Below are 22,028 nucleotides of genomic sequence, written 5' to 3'. Positions count from 1 at the left end.
ACGGGGTTTCACCATGTTGGTCAGGCTGGTCTTGAACTCCTAACCTTGTGATCCGCCCACCCCAGCCTCCCAAAGTGTTGGGATTACAGGCATGAGCCACCACGCCCACCCCAGCATTTCATATTTTTCAAAGCCATTTTACCAATATTGCCTTCTTAAGTCTACCCAGGAATCCTATGAGCTGCACAGGACAGGTGCTCTCTCATGACCTCTGAGTTCTGCCACAAATTGCTTTGGCAGTTCAAGTCCCATTGCTAGGCCTCAGTTTTCTCATATACAAAATAATGCAGGTAGACAAGAACCAGGAAGAATCAGGACAAAAAACTTGGAGAACTGCAAGCCAAACCAGGCTGGCGGAGGTCTGTCACTTAGCTAGCACATTGATTCTAGCCTTTAAAAATGTAATTCAACAGAGATGGAGGAGGGGGCTGTTGCTACTGCACTTTGCCACAGCCCTTACTAGGCTATGAAGGTATTCCAGTTTATAGCTTTAGGACTAAAAGACACCTAAGGTCCCTTTAAGCTCCCTAAAGTTCCATCATTTTGCAATTCCTATTTACAGATGATTAAAACTAAGACCCAGAGATATACAGTCCTTATCTAACATACATAGCTCATTAGTGACCACGTTGAATTTGGATCTCTGACCCCTAGATCAGGGCTCCTTGTAAAGTCTCCATTTCTCAGGGCCAAGAACAAGAACAAAATAAAACCCCAATAGGCAGAACTTATACTTGAAGCTCATCAGAAAATGCCTGTCTATATAAACATTACTGTAGTCATGATAATTTATGGAGGAAATAACCAAGAACAAGATACAAATTCATATAACACAAAAACAATCTTTGGAAATGAAGTCACTTAGAAGAGCATTCAACTTTTGCATCTGAGACACCCTGAAATTCCTGGTAACTCATCTGAGAGAGGCCATTAAAGATAAATTCACTCTGGCCAACTTTTTGAAGGTTTCCCCAATGCCATCTATGAGAAGCCATCGGGATGAAAGAAACAAGCCAAAAATCTTGACTATTTCTTTCCCAACTTCAAAACGCTGAGTTTATAAAATAAGGTAACCGGTTTAGACATTACGGGTGTCTGCATATTGATTGACTGATTAATTTATGTAAGTATTCTTTAGTTAGCATCAGTTGTGGGCCAGGGACTATTCTTAGCACTTGGAGGTATGGCAGAAAATAAAATAGACAAAATATCTGTCTTCTTGGAATTTATATTCTAGTGGAGCTTATGGTCTACTGTTATATTTAATATTCTCTTAATATTAAAAATAAACAAGAAAATTATGTAGGCTATTAGGAGATAAGTGCTTTGGGCTGACACACAGTAGCTGAGGGAATGGGAAGTACAGGGATGGGCTCTCTCAGTTTGCTACAGTTTGGCAGGAATGACTACAGAAGAGGCGCCTTGCTGAGCACCACCAGGTGACAGGGCTCAGTCAGGGCTAATGGGCAGAGGCTACAGATTGACAGAAAGTTTCTGATTCCTTACCTCCTAAATAGGGCTCATAATAGTATGTACCTCACTGGGGTCTATGAGAATTAAATGAGATATAGCTATAAACCTTTGACACAGCACCTGGGGCACTTGTTGAAACTTATGTGCCATGAAGCAAGGGCACAGACACTTCCTTCCTTTTGGGGGTACTACTTGCTGGGGTGGGCTGGGGTGGGCTCTTCTTTTTCTTAAGGAAAAAAAGATAAAGAGTCCAAGCCAGGTGCCTGACAGGGGAGGTTAAAGTCATACCCTATCTCTTTTACTAACCTTGAACAATGCACTAATTAACTCTGCATCTCAGTTCCCACATCTGTAAAATGGGAAGAATAATAATATCTACCTCACAGGGTTGCTGAGGGGTTGAAATGAGATCATGCATATGAACAGTTGAGCCCATACTCAAAACAATGTTTTTTGCTATCACCATCATTGTTATACTTTTCCAAGGTCTAGGTCATGCCTATAAAAAGGAGGCTGAAGGGCTACTGAGCTGCTGGGTTCGCTGAAAAGAGAGGGGCATTAAGGGTAGAAGTGAAACGGTCTCAATGCTATCGTCTGATACAATAGCTTGAAAACGCAAGTCAGACCACGTCCCTCCTCTGCTCATGGCTCTGTGTCACTCAGTGGGAAAGTCAAAGTCCTTATGGTGGTCTACAAGGTCCTACATGATCTGGTATCAGATGACTGTTACTCACCCTCACTTGTTCTGATCTGGACACAAGCATACTCTGGGCCCAGGGCTTTTCACTTGCTGTCTCCTCTGCTGGAATGTCTCTCTCTTCAATGTCAGCATGGACCCCTTCCTCATTTCCTCCAGGCCTCTCCTCAACAGCCAGTATAGAGGGAAGCATTCTCTGACTACCCTACTTAAAATAGCAATCCCTCATATATCACCTTTCTGCTTTAATTTTTTCCATCACAGTTATCACCTGTCATATATTTACTTTGACTTTTTAGTCCGTCTTTCCCACTAGAATGGAAGCTCCATTGCAGAATCTCTAGGTCTTACAACAGTGCCTAACATGTTAGGTACACATTAAGTATTTTCTGAATGAATGAATAAATAAATAAATAAGACATCCTAAATATGTCCATTTACAAGGTTTCCTCACAACCACACTGACCATTCCTCTGTATCTTGGGGACTGCAAGATCTTTAGCTGTCTGAGGACGTGGAGACCCTAAGCTGTGCTGAGAAGCAAAATAGGTGTTATCTGCACAAGGGAGATCAAACATTTGGATTCTAGCCAAATGATCTCTCCCTTCTGAGCCTCAGTTTTTCCAACTATAAAATGGATTCATATTGGGATACTGCACAGGTGCCCCCAAGGGGGTGCTGTGATGAGAGGAGTATGAGGGGGAGATGGAAATGATTAATGATTGTGTTCCAGGCCCTCTGCTACACCCCACCCACCCAACAGAAGCTCCCCATTCATCAGCTTTATTACTGGAGGCCATGGAAAGTTTCATTTGCAGGGAACAAAAAGGTTATCTGATGCTTAAAAAAAAAAAAAATCTGAAAGGCACTATTCTGAATGCTGCCTGCATGGGAATTCTGGGACTCACACAGCAGCTTCAAAGAAAAACATGTCTCCTTTTTAAAGTCAAAGGGGCCTTTGGAGACTGGCTGTGCCCTGCCCATCGGAGGAAGGGTGGCCCTGCCACGAATGTCCCAGACTCACCTGCGACATGTGCACCACCTCAAACCAGCGCAGGATCCCCGGCAGCTTGTATGCAGTCACGAAGGAGGTTCTCTCAATCCACATGGACTGTCCGTGGGCAGAGGGGTGGCAAGGGCAGGAAAGCAACAAACACATTTATGAAACCTGGGTATCGGAGAAGCTTGGCAGAAACCCAGCCAGGTCCCCGGGCCTCCCATCTACCCGAAAGCAGAATAAATATTGCAAGACCCAGAAACACGCTCTCACCTTACCCTTAAGAATTCTTTCCCAACATTAAGTGTAAGCTCTCCCTGGACTTAGGCCAAGTAAGTACTAACCTGGGTTTATTAGCAGTCTGAATTTTTAGGCAATATTGAATGTGTCCATTTGTTTTCTCGGGGAAGGGTTCCCAGTGTTCATTAGACTCTCAAAGAGGCAGTGGCTCCAAAAATATTAAGAATTACTGTCCAGGCCAAAGAGCTGAGACTTGGAGACACCTCCTTAATCCAGTCTTGTTTGAATCCTAGCTGGACACACACAGAGGAGACTAGCACTCAGGGGACAGTGATGACTACATTGCTGTGGCTTCTTACTGGTGTTTGCTGGAAGGTTTGATTTTATCAACACCCCTTCTTAGCCTGAGGGTTTCTACGTGCTGGCAATGCCTGAATGCCCTGTGGTTGAAAAAGTGCCTCTGACATGAGGCCTGGGTTCTGTATTAAGGGGAAAAAGGCTCAAGAAATAAGGACACAGGCCCTAATGGAAGAGATTGGGGAACGGACGTCATGGTATCCATGGAGGTTGGCTTTATTTTCTCTGGCTTTCTATCAAGTTCCTTCCCATTCTGAGGCTGGCCGATGCATGCTCTGGTTCCTCCAGGTGGCTCCAGGGAATGATCAAGGGTAGGGAAGATACTCACAGCAAACTCATTCTCTGGGTCTACGGTCCCCCTGCGCACGGGCCGGGAGTAGTGGAACCTTTGCACGTAGTTGGATTTGTAGAAGCTGAAAGACAGGAAGAGGCTGAGGCTCCTGGTAGCCATCCCCGGCTGCTGACACCCGATCTGACCCTGCACTGTCCAGGGAGGTTCATTACAGTAAACTTCAGGCCTGGCAGAGTCCCTTGTGGTGCATTTAAAATCAAGGTCTGTGTTCTGGGCTCCGTAAGAGTGACTTTTGCACAGGCTTTCCTGACAAGGCAATTTAGAAGGTAGACTGGTCTTGTGCCCCTTTGAGAACATAGTACCCCTAGAGTATCCAGGCAATTGGAATTCTAACATTGATGGCCTAGGTCATGATTTCCTGTGATCTGCAACAAAGGAGCTGAGGTCTGAGCCTAATTTCCCAGAGGTGTCCTCAAAGGATTTCTTTAGGTGTCCCAGCCAACCCCCTAAATCAGTCTCCCTGAATCGTTGGTGAGATTCTAACTTCAGGGCCAGCAGAACACCGTGCTAGCTGCACAGTTATTGTCCCCTGCTCATGGGTGCCTGTCTGAGAAGGTGAGAAGGTGAGGGGAGGTTAAGACCCAAGCTGAGCTCCACCTGCTCTGCTGTGGCACTTCGTGAGGCTGCTGGGAGGGGCTGCCTCTCCCTGAAGGGTCCTTCATCTTGCAAAGCAGATCCTGTTTCTGACTGTCCCATCCAGAGGGGAGGACCTACTCTAAGACACTCAAGTGCTCCATTACAACCTGGGCATGGGGTAGGGGGAATGAGCTGGGCAGCTGGGAGGCATACAGCCTTGGGTCCCACAGAGGCCCCACCTTGTGGCCTCATCAGTGACTTTGCAATCTGATCTAGAACAGGTGGACATCAGCCTTCACGGCACTTCCTCTACTGTTCCTTTATCAGAGCCTGAACACACCATTGTCAATGTACAACCTTCACAAATGCTGAGGAGATGTCCCTCTGGGAGCATGTGCTCAGCATGGACAAGGCCCCCTGTCTCCACCCTGCCTATCACTTGCCCAGCCACACTCTGTCTGTGGACTCCCTGGGGCCACTCTGAGATCAACCTGAGCAACAAATAGGCTGACTGCATCCAGTTGAGCAAATGCTCGATGCTTGCTGAGGATTTGCTGAGCCATAACCCTGGCTCTCCCATCCTTCCTGGCTTCAGCCTTGTCAGGGGCAGAGCCCAGCTAATTGGAGGGTGATTCTTTGCCCAAGAGGAAAAGGGGGGAAAAACTGGCTAAGATAGAGAAGGAACTAGAAAGACACTGGGGTCTGTTCTGCCACCAGCTCAGTTTGGTGGCCCCAATGGGTTCTCTTCCCCATCCTTCTTCCCTGTGGACAACGAGTCTTACTTTATAATCTGGTCAGGCACTGGCTTATTCTTGAACCTGGGATGTTCATCCAAGACAGGCTGGACAGTGAAGCACTGGATATCTGGAATCCCTGTAGTTAAGGACTTATATCTGTTGGCTGCGGGGACAGTTTTAAGTATAGCTGGTCCTTGCTGAGACCTTCCAGGCCAGCCTTTATGGGGCCACATTTTTACTGAATGATGAACCTCAGGTTGCTGGCTGCCCACTAGGCACTAATGACTAGTTAGTCACTGAGGTCCTTATCAGTGCTGTCACCCTGCAACCTTATGCCAGGGCTCAGCCCCTACAAACAGAGTTGTCTAGTGGTGTTTAATCATCATCATTGCTATATTATCATTAATAATAATACTATTGAATGAATTTATAGCTCTCAAATCAATTGCAGAGTACATCTTCCCATGATCTCATTTGATCTCCTCAATTCCACTGAGTTGCCTTATTAACCTAAATTGTCCCCTTCGAGGCCAGAGAAGCCAGGCCACTTGTTGAAGGTCACACAACTTGTAAGAACAGATCCGAGTTTGTATTTAGGTCTTCTAACTCTAAGCTCAGAATTCTTTCACTCTGGACTCACTACTCAAAGGCGGCCCTTTGACCAGTAGTGTCAGCATTACCCGTAAGTTTGTTAGAAGTGGAGACTCTGGACTATCTGAGAACCAACTGAGTCCGGATCTGTAAAAGATCCTTGGGTGAAACATATGCATGCTAAAATTTGTGAAGCACTGCTATAGAATATGCAAATAAATGTCATTTTGCACCCCAACTCTGAAAATTTGAAAGCAACTGCCTATGGCAGGATGGTAAGGAGCTGTGTTCAGACAGTGGAAAAGAGTCCCATGGTGGATTAGTGATGCCTGCAACAGGCACAGATATTGGAAAAGCACTATGTGGGTCAGACCCTTGTCATGCCTCTTCTAGGTCTGTCTTTAGTCCTTTTAAGCTGACAATATGGCAAACTGAATGAAAAAAGTCAGCGGTCACTGGTCCCACTCCTGACCCCTCTTCCCTTTCCCTACCTCCCATTTCTTCTTTACCCACGTCTTTTATTTAGGTATTCAAGGTCTTTCCTCCCTCTATTCTACCCAATGACCACCATGACTCCAAAAAATCTTTTCCTGGGCCTGACATGTCTGCCAACTAAGGAATCAAGAACTCCTCTGGCTAGCATTCAAAGCTAGGCCAGTATGGCCTTCACCCATTTTTTCATCATTATCTGGATATCCAATGGATCCTACTACTTCCTTTCCTTGGAACATTTTCCCTTATCAGCATCCCTCTCTTGTGAACCCTTTGGACAGATGTCAAATACCACAGTCCATGAAAACAATTCACCCCCCAGTTAGGAGTTGTTTTCCTTCCTTTGGCTTTCCACAGCCTTCGTCTTTGCTTCTCTTAGGATCCACCCTCCAGCTCCTTGTAGGCTTCCTCATCCCCCCAGCCCACCTCACACCCTCCATCCTGCCCAGATTGTGAGCTTTTTCATGGCAGAGACTATGGTTCTTTCACACATAAGAAATGACCAAAACCTAGTTCCAAATTAAATTGAATTGCCTCTGTCTGATGAACTTACTCTATGCTAAGAAGTTAGGTGTTTCATTGATTTACTTCTGATGCCTGTTTCTGCCTTAAATAGATTTCTCTTCTTAAGAGATGGCAATGTTTAACACGAATGAATAAATCTCAGTGAAGGTATTTCTATGATTTTCAGGAAAACCATTTTCTTTCTCAAGCCATGTGGCCAACAGCCTGCTCTGGGAAGAAAATCACTCTGGATTAAGTCTAGGGCAGGGGTTGGCAAACTATGGCCCTGCGGTCAAATCTGGTTCACTGCCTGTTTTTGTAAGGCCCAGAGGCTAAGAAGAGTTTTCAATGGAGGGAAAAAGAGTATTTTGTAACGTGAAAATGATAGAAAGTTCAAATGTTAGTGTCCATAGAGTTTTATTGGAACACAGCAATACCCGCGCATTTTTGGGTTTTCAGTGGCTGCTCTCCCACTACAACAGCGGAGCTGAGTAGTTGTGACAGAGACTGCATGGGCCACAAAGACTCAAATACTGCCCATCTGATCCCTTCCAGAAAGTTTGCAGACCCCTGTTTTAGAGAAGGTTCTAGGTCATGTTTACTGATCTTAGCCACTGGTGTTGGCCCAAGAGGAGAATCCAAATCTGTCCTAGGGAAGCCCGTGACACAAGTCCCCTGAAGTTGTACCAGGAGGATGGCTGGTGAGGTTGTTATGCCACAGGCTGAATGTATGCGCGGAACTGGGGCCCCAGAGGGCTGGGCAACTGCAGACTCCCTACAAAGAGACTTTGGCTTTCAATTATCATTTCCTACTTGGATACCTAAGTGAGAAATGAGATCTGTCACCCTCTCAGACTGCTTATCAGCTTTTTAACAAGTGAAGGCAAGAGAAGAGAGCATTAAGAACTCAATGTTTTGTCAAAAAGTAGGCCTGAGTTCAAATCCAAGCTCCATCACTTCCTAGTTGTGACCTTGTGCAAGCTGCTTAAATTCTGTGAGCCTCAGTTTTCCTATTAGCAAAATGCAGGAAAGCAATAATACCTAACTTGTATAAGTATTGGAGGGTAAAACAACAATGCGTGTAAAATGCCTAGTACATGGTAAACAGTTAATAAAGAGAATGCTGTTCATCAATCTTTTTAAAAAGGATGATGTACTAGAACATAGTTTTTGAAACAGACAGATCATGGGGTTCAAGTACCAGTTCCATCACTAACTAGCTTTGTAACCTTAGGCAAACCACTTTACATCTCTGCCCCACATATTTCTTGTCCATGAAATAGGGAAAATTAACACTCCCCTTAGAGGGTTTTATAGGATATAAAGCCCTCAGTCTCAAGAAAAGGACATTTAGCAAATATTAGCCCTTCCCCTTTTCTTTTGCACCTGCCTCCTGGCACTGAACCAGGGGAGATGTTGTGTCCCAGGAACACGTACTCTCTCCCTTGCCTCATGTTAAAAGGCCACAGAGCTGTTCAATCCCAGGAGATCCACTTAGAAAAGCCTTAGAACTAATCCTATGTCTCGCCTATAACCAAATTCATATTTGTAACCAGCCCAGCCCACCACCAGTTGCATTTGATCCTGCAAATAACCATGGTAGAGCAGGTACGCAGGGCAGGCAAGCATAATGAAAAGGTTACAGATGAATATTTACCACCGGAGAGAAGAATATTTGGATTAAAGTACAGCAGACTGAGCAGACCAGACTTGCGACCTGTCAACCCCATTTTAAAGGCTGTAACTTAATTTGTGCTAAACGGTGCAATGCTGGGAGTTAGGCTGAGTTAATGTGCTCCCTGGCTCAGCAGTTGGCCCTATCCTTGCATTTATATGCTCCCTGCCATGCGAATCCTGTCTGTTGCCCAGCACTGGCTGCTGGCCCACTAAAGACCATGCTTGGCCACACTGACACCCACTTATACGGCACCCTAATATCACCCCATGTGACTTCTGTGTACTATGTACTCCAAGTGAGCTGGCTACTTCTCTGCCTCCTTCCTCCCTTTCTCTATTTATTTATCTCTTTTCTTCTTTCCTCTTTCTGTGTTGTTTTCTTTTTATTTCTATTAATCAACAAATATTTACTGGGAGTCACTTTGTACCAGGCACGAGGGAGTGGGGGACTTAACTGCAGGGAGCAAGCCAGGGCAAGCATCTTCCCTCGTGGAGCCGACATTCTAGCTCACCTCCATGCACGTTTAAAAAGCACCAGAGATAATGGCAAATTGAGACAGATTTTCCAAAGAAAACGGAGCTTGAGATACCAGGGTCATGAAGAGTTCAGAGAAGGCCACATTAGACAATAGAAAGGCCATGGCAGGCCTCTTCCAGAAGGTGACGCCAAGCTAGGATCTGATGGGTAAGAGACAGCTAGTCATGTAAGGAGCTGAGGAAGGGCATCCAAAGCAGAGGGAACAGAGAACATGAATGCTCAGAGGCAGGAACAAGCTGGGCATATCACAGGAACAGAAACAAGAACCCTGTGGTCAGAGGGATGTGAGAAAGGGAAGGAAGGATGGGGGTGGGGCTGACGTTGGACAGGCAGGCAGGGGTCAGATCATGGATGGCCTTGCAGGCCTTGCTTAGCAGTTTTGATTTTATTATGATGGCAATATGGCGTCATTTCAGTTTGTGGAGCCTGCTATGCTCCTTCCTGCCAAAGGCCTCTGCACACAAGTGTTCTTCCTTCTGTCTGGGATATTCTCCCCACTTCCTGCTAAGCTTTGGTTGCTAGTAATCTCAAACATCACCTTCCTCAAGGAAACCTTCTCTCCTTTCCCAACCACAGTACTCTGCATGGCTTCCTCAAGGCACAGATTATATTTTTGTAAATAAATATGGAATAGTGCAATTAGTCACTTAACGCCTCTTTTACTTGCTACACTGTAAGCTCCCTGAACGTAGGACCACTTTGTGAATGAAAATCTCCAGTCCCTTGCACCTTGCTTAGCATAGAGTCAGGGCTTGAGAGTATTCAATATAAGAATGAATTAGTGAGTGAGTGAATTAATCAATGCATGCAACATTTACAATGTATTGAGATAGGTTCTTTGGATCTCATCTCAAATATTTACTGGGAGTCACTCTGTACCAGGCACCGTGGGAGATGGGAACTTACTGCAGGGAGCAAGTTGGAGCACGCCAGAGCAAGCGTCTTTCCTTATACAGTTGACATTCTAGCTCACATTCATGCACTTTTTGAAAAGCACCAAAGGGAGACAAATTTTCCAAAGCAAACAGAGCTCAAGATGCCAGGATCATGAAGAGTCCAGAAAAGGATCCAAAGAACATGGATCCAAAGAACATGTTGCATGTTCCTGCAACATGGCGCCACTGCAATGATTCTGGCAGCAGCCCTGAGCTCTAAGGTGGGTCTTTGTGGGCTGCAGCCCTGGCAGGGCTGCTCAGGTCTGGCCCCTTGGCTAGGGCATTCTCCAAGGATACACTGGCCTGGGGCATTCTTCACATCATCTCCCGGGGCAGAGGTGGTGTTCATCTTCTCTGCATTGGGGAACTGGGTCATCAGCTGCATCTGGAAATCTTCTCTTCGCTCATATTCCTTCCCGCGGTAGATGAACACTTTGTTCTGCAGAGAAAGGATGCTCATTAGAGATTTGGGGACCCAGGTGTGAAGAAAGGGGCCAAGCAAAGCTGGGGAGCTTGTAAAATGACCACGGTCCATGGGGATGTCCAGTGCATCACTCTCCTCTTGGTTTCCCCACAGGGAAAGGAAGGGCTCAACTCACTGACCTAGCAGAGGCCATCACTACTTTAAAGGGTCTGGGTCTAGAGGAAGGGAAGATCATGGATGCTGAGAACTTTCTTCTTCTTACCATCCTATGTACAGCTTCCAGAATAATTACTCACTCAGGTTTCACTGTGTCACACCCACTCTCCTATATACATGGCCACAACATTTCCCCGTTGCCTGTAATGGGCCATGTGGGCTGGACCTGTGGGCTGGAATGGTTCAGCATTCATATCCTCATCACCTGGCTTCTGGCTCTAAGCCTGTGAAAACACACTCTTTATCCTTCCTGACCATGTTAGTCTTTTATAGATCAGTGGTTCTCAACTAAAGGTGATGTTGTCCCCCAAGGGACATCGGCAGTATCTGGAAACGTTTTTTGGTTGTCACAACTGGGAATGGGGGATGCTACTAGAACCTACGGGGTAGTGGTTAGGGATGCTGCTAGCATCCTACGATGCATAGCACAGCCCCACAATGAAGAATTTTCAGGCCCAAAATATCAATAGTGCTGAGGTTGAGAAACTCTGCTCTAGACATCTGTGCCACCCATACTGCCTAAAATGGCCCCTAATTTCCTCTGTCCAAACACACATCTGTCATACATCTCTACATATCAGTGCTTCCAAACCTGGCTGATCATCCAAGGAGCCTAGGACACTTTTAAAAATTCAGATTCCCAGCTGGGCCTGGTGGCTCACGCCTGTAATCCCAGCACTTTGGGAGGCCGAGGCAGGCGGATCATGAGGTCAAGAGATGGAGACCATCCTGGCCAACATGGTGAAACACCGTCTCTACTAAAAATACAAAAATTAGCTGGGCGTGGTGGCACATGCCTGTAGTCCCAGGTACTTGGGAGGATGAGGCAGGATAATAGCTTGAACCCAGGAGGCAGAGGTTGCAGTGAGCCGAGATCAAGCCACTGCACTCCAGCCTGGGCGACAGAGCAAGAAATGGAATCTGTGGATCTGTGGGAGTGGGGCCTAGGAGTCTGCACTTTTAACAAGTTCTCCAGGGGATTCTGACGTACAGCCAGGTTTGGGAAGCCACCTCTACTTCCTCCATGAAACCTGCACCCCTCTCTGCGGCTCATGGCAATCACTCCTGCAGGCCCACTCTCACTTCCACATTGATTGTTGATTAATAATTGTGAGTGATTTATCTCCTTGACTAGACTAAATCAAGTGAGGTTGGAGATCAGATTAGCCATTTCTTTTGTATTTCCCTCACCCCAGAGTTGAACCATAGGCTCACAGACTGAAGGAAGCCTACTGGTGACCTAATCCAATTCGTCACGTGATGGGTAAATAGGCCACTACAGTAGTGGTTCAGAAACTGTGCTCCAGGGACACTTGAGGTTCCCAAGACCCTCTCAGGAACCACAAGATCACACTGTTTTCACAATAACATGAAAGCTGTTATTTATCCTTTTCATTCTCATTCTCCCATGAGTGTACGATGGAGCTTTCTGAGGCTGCGTGATGTGTGATCGCAACAGATTGCAGAAGCAGACATGAGAATCTAGATGTCTTCTCTTAAGTCAGACATTAAAGAGATTTGCAGAAATGTGAAGCAATCTCATGATTTTCACTGATTTTTTATTGGAAAATAGAGCTATTTTTCCTAAAATTGCAGTTTATGTTAACATGTAATGGGTTTATTAGTGCTATTTTTATTTTTAAGATTTTATTTATTTTTTGAGACAGGGTCTCTCTTTGTTACCCAGGCTGGATGGAGTGCAGTGGCCCCATCATGACTCACTGTAGCCTCAACCTCCTGGGTTCAGGTAATCCTCCTGTCTCAGGCCCCAAATAGCTGGGATTATAGGTGCGCATCACCACGCCCAGCTAATTTTTGTATTTTTTGTAGAGGCAGGGTTTCACCGTGTTACCCAGGCTGGTCTCGAACTCCTGAGCTCAAGTAATCTGCCCACCTCAGCCTCCCAAAGTGCTGGGATTACAGGCATCAGCCACCATGCCTGGACCATTATTGTTATTTTCAAATAAATGAACACTTCAAAAAACATTTTCTTAGTTTTAATTTCTCATGTAGTAAATGTAGATAGAGATTATCTTTATACACACAAGTTCTTTGGGATCCTCAATAATTTTTAAGAGAGAAAGAAGGTTCTGGAACCAAAAAGCCTGAGAACGACTGCTCTACAGTAACTCCTGAAAGCAAATCTCTGCCAGCAAACATCCTCCAGCCTCTCTTTGAACACCTCATTCCAGTGACGGGGAACTCACTACCTCACGAGGCAGCTGTAATTGCTGTGTAGTTAGAGAAACACAGTAGATGAGAAATGCTGGTGATTATGATGAGGGCTATTGACTGGGGAGTCTCCTGGGGATGGGGGCAGCACTCAGACAGAGAAGAGCACCGCTTCTGAGCACAAGCAAATCCTCAAAGCATAGAAGGACCGCTGAGATGCCGAGGCCCTGGGGCTCTCGCCTGGTGTCCAAGTCACCCCCAAACTCACCCGCAGGAAGGAGGGGAATCCCTGGCCGTAGTATCCAACAGCAAAGTAGTCTGGTTTGGGCCTGAGGATTTTCATGATGCTTTCATAGAATTTTGCCTGCTGGATCTAAAGGAAGAAAACAAGGTTTGTTGCAACACAGATGTGTATCAAAGGCACATTCAACTCAAAGAGGCCTTGGTGAAGACATTTTCATTATACCAGAGCCAATGAGCCATGTGCACATATTTACATATCTGTGCTATGTCTATAATCACAATAGTAATAGCTATATTTACAGTATACCAGGGACTGTGTTAATCACTCTACCTGCACTAGTGTGGTTACTTGAATCACCCTTGTAATAATCCCATGAGTATCTCCATTTTGCAGATAAAGAAATGGTATCTCGTAAAGCAGCCAGTAAGCATGGAGCTGAACCCAGTTAGTTGCATTCAGGGTTCCCATCATTGCATCTCTGCTCCCACCTCCATGCACACTTGGGCATGGATTTGTGAGGCTATGGAATGAATAAATGCCCCCTGATACAGATGTTTTCCTGTGCATGTATACCTAAGACATTTCATCTATTCTAAGAGGTGTGTGTTTTTCGTATTTTAACATCTCTGGAAACAGTCTGAATCTTACTTTACACCTAATGGCATCTTATAACTGCAGTTGGCCCTGAAGGAATCATGACATGGCACAATAAAAAGAATGGTGTATGATCGATGGCATCTTCCATTTGATACAATCTGGAAGATATATGTGGATCTAGACGGGGGCCTGTGTGATGTGGACTCTGTGCAGGCAAGTGCACATACATTAGTGTGTGCTTGAATGTATCCTGTGTGTGTGTGTGTGTGTGTATGTGTGTGTGTCTTGGGCATAGGCATTGGCAAACATCTATGTGGAGGTACACGCGGGGCAGGTATTAGGTGTCTCTTGGTGCAAGCACATGTGTGTGTATTTGTGTATTATCTTACAAACAGTGAAAACAGTTAACAGCTCAGCTGTTTTTAACAAGATCACTATACCTTCCCCCCACCAAAAGCTATCAATCCTCTCCTAACATTCTGACTCTGTAAGTCGCTGGCCTGGCCTCTCTAAGTGGGCTAAGAGGGGTCCCTGGGGTCCTGCTGCTCAGGCAGCCAGAAAACATGTGGGGAGGATGGGCGGGAGGGAAGCAGCCAAAGAGTTCTGCATTTCCCTGCAGAGTCCAACTCCCCGCCAAACCCAGGCTTCTGCAGTACAAGCAGGATTGGCTGGGCTGGCTTCCCCCACTCTCCACTTCCCCCACCAAATCCTGAGCATGGAGATGCTAATGGGAGTAACCAGATGGGGAGCATTTTAATGTGATTTATCTGTTAATCAGAAAGCACAAATTTGTGTTTTTATTTAATTGGTTTAGTGATTTGTGGAACTTTTACTGCAAATGTAACACAGCGTTTATTGGGGCTGCAGCAGCGGTGGCAGTTGCAGCCCCTCGCAGGTACTCAATGCTCCCTTTGAGGAGCTGTCACCGAAGCATTTCCCCACGACATCTCTCTTTGAAAATACTCCCCACGGGAAGGGAGATGCTCAGTACAGCCTCTCTCAGGTCCTACTTCCGTTCATTTTCTATTTCCCTAACCCCGCCTGGCCCTCATGCCCATCTCCCCAGGATCTGGGGTGAGCTGAGGCCCTGAGCACCCAGCCTGCAGGGCATTCAGCCTTCCCAGGGGATGCCTTACCAGGTTCTGGCTGAGCAGCTCATAGTCAAAGATCTCCATCTCGTACTGTTCCGCCAGCTCCTTGCACAGACTTATGGCCTCTTCCCACATCTACAGGAAGGTCACAGGGACAAAGGTGAGGTGGCACCACCGGGTTTGCAGAGCGCTTGCTGAGGAAGGGACTCAGGCGTAGCTGTGCTTCCTGGGACTGAGGGGAAACCTTGCTCTGACCCAGATCCACCCCCATACAGAGGGGCCGGGGGCTTCCTAGAGAGGACGACCTTCCTCTGGCCTCTCACCGGAGTTTCTTGATAAACAATTGAGTAGGCACAGATGAGGCTAAACCCTTTATTTACGTGCTCTGATTCTTCACAACCACTCTGAGAGGTAACTGACAGCATCTTCATTGTCCGGGTCAGAAACAGAGGTTCAGAGAGGCCCAGCAACCTGTCCCGGGTCAAAACGCCTCACTAAAAGCAGGGTCAGGATGCAAGCCCCCGTGTGTGTCTCCAGGGCCTTGCTCTTCAGTCCCTGCCTCCCACGTGCTCGTGTTTAGTGAAGGAAACCTTTGATTCCCTCAGCCTCCTCAGGGAGGTGTTGGCCCCCTTTTCCAAAGATAAATGGTTCACAGAGAAGTGAGCAAGGTGGCTCAAGGTCAGAGTTTCCAGGGACAAAGTTGGGACCAGGCCCCAGTTCTCCTGATATGCAGTCCTGGGATTCTTCTACTCTGCCAATCCTGTCACTTTTTAATGGGATTATTTGATGTGTGGAAGTAGAGTCAGGTAGCATAGAGGTGGAAGGGGTGGTGCTAGAATATTAAAAAAAAATTAAGACTTTTTTTTTAATAGTAGGTCTTCTCCATCTTAAGAGAAAAAATTCTAAACAAAGAAACCCTAGACATAGTGGATAATTCTTCTCTCCTCTGTCTTAGACGAGAGTCAATAGATCACCTCACTCTCTTAGACCGAAGGAGGTCAGGACGGTCTGCAGAGTCAGGGGAGATGCAGGGTGGACCGGAGGCTGGCAATCTCTAGGGATAGCCATTACATTTCACCTTCAGTTTAAAATGGAAAATGCACCTAAATGGAGAAGCTGGGGGAGGTAGGAGGAGGAGAGAGGGGAGGTTGCCAAAATGCAGTGTGAGCTGTGTAGCAAAAGTGCTCTCTCTGCATCCAAGCATAAAAATAAATAAAACCAAGTGCCGAGTGGAGAAGCCACGGCTGTAAACCCACGGACAGCTCAGCAAGCAGCATAAAAATGCTTTATGTGCTGGGAAGAGGAATCAAGTATATGGGCCAGGCTGGGGTTTTCTCTTCACCTTGAACCTGAAGTTTGGGGTAATCCCCCTGGGCTGGGCCAGGGGACTGTTGGGCTCAAGTATAGGTCTTTGTCTACTTCTCACCATAATGTGAACAGGGAAAAGAAACGCTCTCCCCATGGGTTAAGAGATCACTAAGAGACCAGGGAAAGGGCGGGGCAGGAAGTCAGGTGCCTGGGATTTCCTCTCAGGTCTGCCTGTGTGGCCACTGGGACCTCCAACAGTCACTAATTTCTCTGAGTCTTACACATTCATTACTAAGCACACGGTGGGTTCTGGGCATGGTGTGGTGTGCAGTAATGAAACAGATATAAAGATGGACGAGACACAGACTCTACTCTCATGGAACATAAGTGGACAAAGGATATACATCAATAGATGAAATCGTTTGGTTTTGAGGAATTTAGAGGAGTCTATCGGGTGATGGCAAGATGAACTTATGGAGTAGAAAGCCAGCATGTGTGCCTGGAGCAATGAGCCTCCCTGAGGAGGTATAGGGAACGAAAGCTGAGGGGGCACTGAGGAGTTTGGGCTTCCTTCTAGGAGCTTCCATAGCAGTGGCTTTCAGGGTAAGCTGTACCCATCTGCTCCCTCCTCTCTGCTCTCAAAGTACTTTGGCACCACCCTGTTCCTTTGCCTTTTTCCCCATTATTGCACAATGCCAAAGGGCAATGCAAAAAATATTATTATTGGCATGTCTGTTTTGCTCACTAGACAGTAAGTTTTTTGAGGTTGGGGATCATGCCTTTTTCCTCTCTGCTCAGCACAGAGTGGGCTGAATTGAATATCTTGCTGAGGACAAAGCTCAACGTGTACTTTTAGGCTCTCACACTGCAACATACTTAATCAGCTGATAAACAAATAGTAAGCTCTGACTTGACACCCAGCAGGGCAGGAGGTTCAAGGGATGGCAGCATCTCTGCCCTCAAGAGGCTTATAATTGTAAATTATGAAAACAGTGCTCTCCAACTGCTTGAGCCTTGGGAATTTATAAGCCCTTCCACAGACATTACCTCATTTTATCTTTCCAGAGAAGGTAGAAGGGTCCGACTAAGACAGATGCAATAAACTACAGTGACAGGACAGGCCCAAATTGAGTGCTAAATTATGTCCTGATGAACTGTAAGAGGTCTTGCATTGCAGAGGAGAGGGAGGGCTGCAGGTAAGCCAGAGGACTCAGGAAAGGCTTGGGAGAGGAAGCGGTGGAGTAGGATAATGATGACGGTTACTGACATTTCACCAGCTATTACTATGCACTAGGTCCTATGCAGGGTGCTCTACGTGCATTTTCTCACTCTATTTTCACGGTACAACTAGAAAGAAGGTACTATTAGCATCTCACTGTTATGGGTGGGGAATTGGAGTCTCTTAGGTCAAGGGAAGAGTAGGTGGTAGAGGAGCAAGGATTGCAGATGGGCCATCTGGCCCCAAAACTTGAGCATGTGGCCACCGAGCAATGTTCTCTATAGGGTGCATGGCAGTTTTGGGGCTGGTACTTCCTGAAGGTCCACCAGAGGCTGGAGCTGAGCAGCAGCTGGTCTGGCCAATCTCCTGACCAAACCCAGCCAAGCATCCTTGCTGTTTAAAGATCAAGGATGACACTGCATGTCATTTATCCATTCAGTTCATTCATTTATGAATGCCCAGTGATTAGAACAGAACCTAGGACATAGGCCTACATATTCACTGGGAACTTCCTAGGTTCTGTCCTAGTCACTGGGCATTTAGCAGTGGGCAAGACAAGTCTCTGCTCTCATAGCATTCTAAATTGGGGAGCCAGAAAATAAACAAGTAAAAAGAAAATGAACAAGATGATGTCTCATAGGAACAAGTGCTTTGAAGAAGCCATAAGGGTAACCTGGGGCAGTGGTGCTGCTGGTTTGCCTAGTGGTGGTCAGGGAAGGCCTCCCTAGCATGTGACATCTGAGTGGAGCCCAGCGTTCCAGTGGGCAGCTATGGTGGAGGAATGCTTCCAGCTGGGAAAAGCAAGTACACAGTCCCTGAGTTTGAAAAGAGCTTGGCATAGAGCACGTGAGCAAGAGGGACCCCAGCAGGGATGAAATGAGAGAGGCAGCCAGGGCACAGCTCATGTGGGGCCTCATGGGCCATGGGAAGGATTGTGTAATTTGTTTTAAGTAGATTGGGAGAGCCATTGAGAAACTGCGAGTGGGGGAATGGCATAATCCAATCTATGCTTTATGATCATCCTATCTGCTATATGGAGGATGATCTGTTGGGGGTAGTGGAGGAAGCAGGAAAATTGTTTAGGATCCATCGCAGTGTCCAGGTGAGCAATGTCGGTGCCTTACATGGAGGTGGAAGGAATGGAGATGGAGAGGAAGTGGAGAGAAGTGATCAGAGTTAGGATTTGCAGGGATATCTGACAGAGCTGAGGATGGATTGGATGTAAGGTATGGGAGAGAACCATCCTTCCAGTGGCCAGGGTCCCCACGGGGGGTGGGCAGGGACAGATTACCTTTCCTTTGTCAAAGTAGCCTATGATGGTCTCGTAGAGCGTCTCCTTCAGCTGCCGGTGTGTCTGGGGGTGCTGCTGGCCTGTCTGCATGACCTGTGATGCACACTGCTCATCCGACCACTGTGAAGAGAAGACACAGGAAGTCACACAGGGCCGAGAGGCTGCCAAGAGCAGGTGTCTTCCTAGGATTAAAGGCAGGAACCACCCTGCCAACACACACCCTGTCCTTTCCATCTCTCCTCCTTTCTTGAACTCAGCTTATTTCTGGAAACTTGGGGTACCACTGGAGAGGCTGCCCTTTTGAGGCATGAGTACTCAGGATATTTGGAGGTTGCCCTCCAGGCAGCACTAATGTCCCAAGTCCCAAAACAGACAAATGAGGGAACATGAAATATTAAAACCACAGTGATCAGGAGTCAGATGAAGCCCTGCAAACACCCTCCCCTCTGCTAGCTTCCCCCTGCCTGTCCTGGGTGCCAGTGTCAGTCAGAGAGATGCTGGGCTGCAATTTCCACTTGTGAAGGCTCCTGGTTTTTGTTGAGTTGCACTTATCTTACTCTTTATTGGCTCTCTGTGTGTTGTTTGTAGATATTTACATTGAACCCCTAAGAAACATGCTCCCAGCTCTCCCAAAGCCAAAGGAAATCATTCTGATTTTTTTCCCAGCTACAGCTAAGTTCTCAACAGAAGGAATGCAGCTCAGTGGGCATGCCAATGATTTACCGTTAATAGCAGTTTAGATATTATATAAAGCTGCAAAATGTATCTCGAAGAGGGGTTGTTTTTGCTAAATGTAAAGATCACTCAAAACCACATGTGACCAGGGAAGCAGTGCAAAAAGTATCCTGCCAGCTCAAGAGTTTGGAGACACAGGGCAAAACAAAATATTTGGATTCTTTTTCTTTTTTTTCTTTTTTCACTCTTCAACTTGCTGTGAGGCCCTGTCAGGATCCCAGCATAAATGCCCTTCACCCAAAGTGACTGTACCTTGAGAAGCCAGGTGTGGAGAAGGAGCGTGTAGGCAGCCTCTGTGTAATTGTCACAGTCCAGGTGAAGATCGCGGAGTTTGTACAGGTACCTGTTTGAGGGAAAATATGCAGTAAGCTACCAGGTGCAGTGAAAAGGAGACACCTGGCAGGGACAAGCAGGAGCCCAGAGAACAACTGGGCACCTCTCTGGGTCGCAAGAAAGTCCTCCTCCCTGGATAACCAGAACTTTGTGTGGGTAATGACAGCACCTAGTGTGTGTTGGTTACTTAGTGCATGACAGGTACTAAGTTAACTATTTTAAATTTCTTAGATTACTTAATATTTATGACAACCCTATGAGATGAGTCTCAGGAATTCCTCTTTTCAGATGAGAGAACTATTGCCTGGATAAGTTAGGTGCCATTCCAGCTAACATGCAACTTGATAATGAATGGTCTGGCCAATGCAATATGACAAGCAAGAGAAATAAAGGAAGGAGAGAGAGACAATTTATCAGGAGTTCTGTGCTAATAAACAGAAGAGTCAGGACATGATGCCTGCTCTTAATCACTGTGTCATTGAAGGAGTATGAACAAGCCACAGCAGCTATAAGGGGCAGTTCCTACCCCTCTCTGCAGAGTTCTCTGGGTGTAAGTAAGTGCATTTTTTGGTAATAAAAGGAAGTGGATCGGGGCTGGAGAATAGATATTCATATGTAGACCTTGAGCTGTCAGTAGGAAGAGTTAGCTATTTGACTGCAGTCACATTTTAACTTCCTGTCCCTTTGAAAAGTGAGATCCCAGTTATGAACCATGAGATGGCAATATAACTGAGGGTACTGAGGATGAGAACAAGGACAAAGGAAGGGCGCTTTGGAAAATTCTTAGATAACTGATCCATAATAGGTATTAAGGGGCAGTGAATTAACTTCTCTGTGCCTTAGTTTGCTCATCTGTAAAATGGCAACATTCACAGAACCTATCTATAAAGTGACTGGGCATATAAAGGGCCAAGGAGACCATGTGTGTCTTACAAAAGGCTCAATACATGACAGCTTGCATTGCTGCTAAGAAATGCAAGTATGCACTGAAAGTGATTAGCCTGTAGCCGGCACTGAGCAGTGACAGTTATTACCTATTATCACTGTGAACTAGATTCCTCTACAAAACATTCTCTCCTGCCACCGTTGGAAACAGAATCCAGAGGCAATGAACCACTGCATCGGTGACCTGCATATCATTAGCAGGATTTATTTAAACCCAACTCTAAGTAATGTGGTGAGGGGATATGCTAATTTCTTCATGTGAGAGGAGAGGCAGGGAATGCCTGCCATGGTGCCAGCATTCTACCCTGACCCACTGTCTCACACCAGGGAACACAGGGTTTCTCGGGTATCTCCACTCAATGCGTGTCTCAATGCTCTGGTTTATTTTCCTTTTGGGAAAAAGGCTTTCTGCACGAAGCTCACCAAAGGAGAAGTGAATGTTCAGTGTTCCTGCCACATAAAATGGGTCAGTGGGTCAAATGTAGGCTGCCTGAAATCAGGGCAGGGACCGCCAAAGATTTTGAGGCGAGGAAAGGTCACCTAGTGGTGATTTGATAGCTGCTGTGCTGGGATGCCCTGGCAGTCTTTTGTTCATTCACTTATTCATTCAGCAAAGCTGTACCGGGCATCCAGGCTATAACAGGCCTTAGAGATAAACAGTGACAAACGCAGGCACTGTTCTCAGGGTTTGGGATTAGAGTCTAGGAGAAGAGACAGGCATGAATCAAATCATCAGATACATAACAGCAAGAACACAGCGATGATATGTGTTGTGAAGGAGTGGTCTATGGTACTAGGAGAGCACGCTTTATCCAGGTGGGGAGAAGAGGGGCTTCTAAAAAGGTTCCCATGGCATAACAGTTGATCTGAAGGGGAAGGGGATGAGTTGGGAGAGCTTCCCAGGCAGAAACATTTGTTCATTCATTCATTCAAAAAATGGGTGTTTTATTATCATGTATTTTTATCAATTCATCCTTCCAATAACTCTGTTAAGATGAGAAAACTGAGATCCAGGTTAAAAGAGCCAGAGCCAGAAGCAGATTTCAAGCTTAGTGATTTCTGCTTTCACAGACACAGCCTTTCCACTTTCCTCCCGCCTAACGTTCTGCCAATCGGAGTTAACCGTGAAATTGCACATGACCTCCATGTAGAGAGTTTGGAATTTAGAAACACCTGTGTGTGCACACATGGCTTAATTCTGCCTTATCTCCTCCTGCCCATCCTCGATGCCTTAGACCCCTAGATGGCTGAGTTCAAAAAACCTGGGGAGAGCAGCCCAGGGGAGAG

General features: G+C 46.3%; 1 protein-coding gene across 2 annotated transcripts in view; it reads right to left on the bottom strand.

Annotated features, from left to right (window-relative positions):
* Positions 1-22,028, bottom strand: part of DOCK2 (dedicator of cytokinesis 2) — a 446,108-nt gene that overhangs the window by 22,522 nt on the left and 401,558 nt on the right. For both annotated transcript variants that reach the window (NR_156756.1, NM_004946.3), the window contains 8 exons: positions 19,716-19,806; positions 18,729-18,848; positions 14,956-15,045; positions 13,247-13,351; positions 10,464-10,605; positions 5,475-5,556; positions 4,093-4,177; positions 3,195-3,281 (listed from right to left, as the gene is read on the bottom strand). Coding sequence is in view for 1 of the 2 variants with exons in the window: in NM_004946.3 (NP_004937.1) it covers positions 3,195-3,281; positions 4,093-4,177; positions 5,475-5,556; positions 10,464-10,605; positions 13,247-13,351; positions 14,956-15,045; positions 18,729-18,848; positions 19,716-19,806 (802 nt within the window). In the remaining variant the exon portion in view is untranslated. The remainder of the gene's footprint in view (positions 1-3,194; positions 3,282-4,092; positions 4,178-5,474; positions 5,557-10,463; positions 10,606-13,246; positions 13,352-14,955; positions 15,046-18,728; positions 18,849-19,715; positions 19,807-22,028) is intronic.

This window comes from Homo sapiens, chromosome 5 (genome assembly GCF_000001405.40).
Source record: "Homo sapiens chromosome 5, GRCh38.p14 Primary Assembly".
NCBI classification, from domain to species: domain Eukaryota; kingdom Metazoa; phylum Chordata; class Mammalia; order Primates; family Hominidae; genus Homo; species Homo sapiens.
This window is presented reverse-complemented; position numbering and strand designations above follow the sequence as displayed.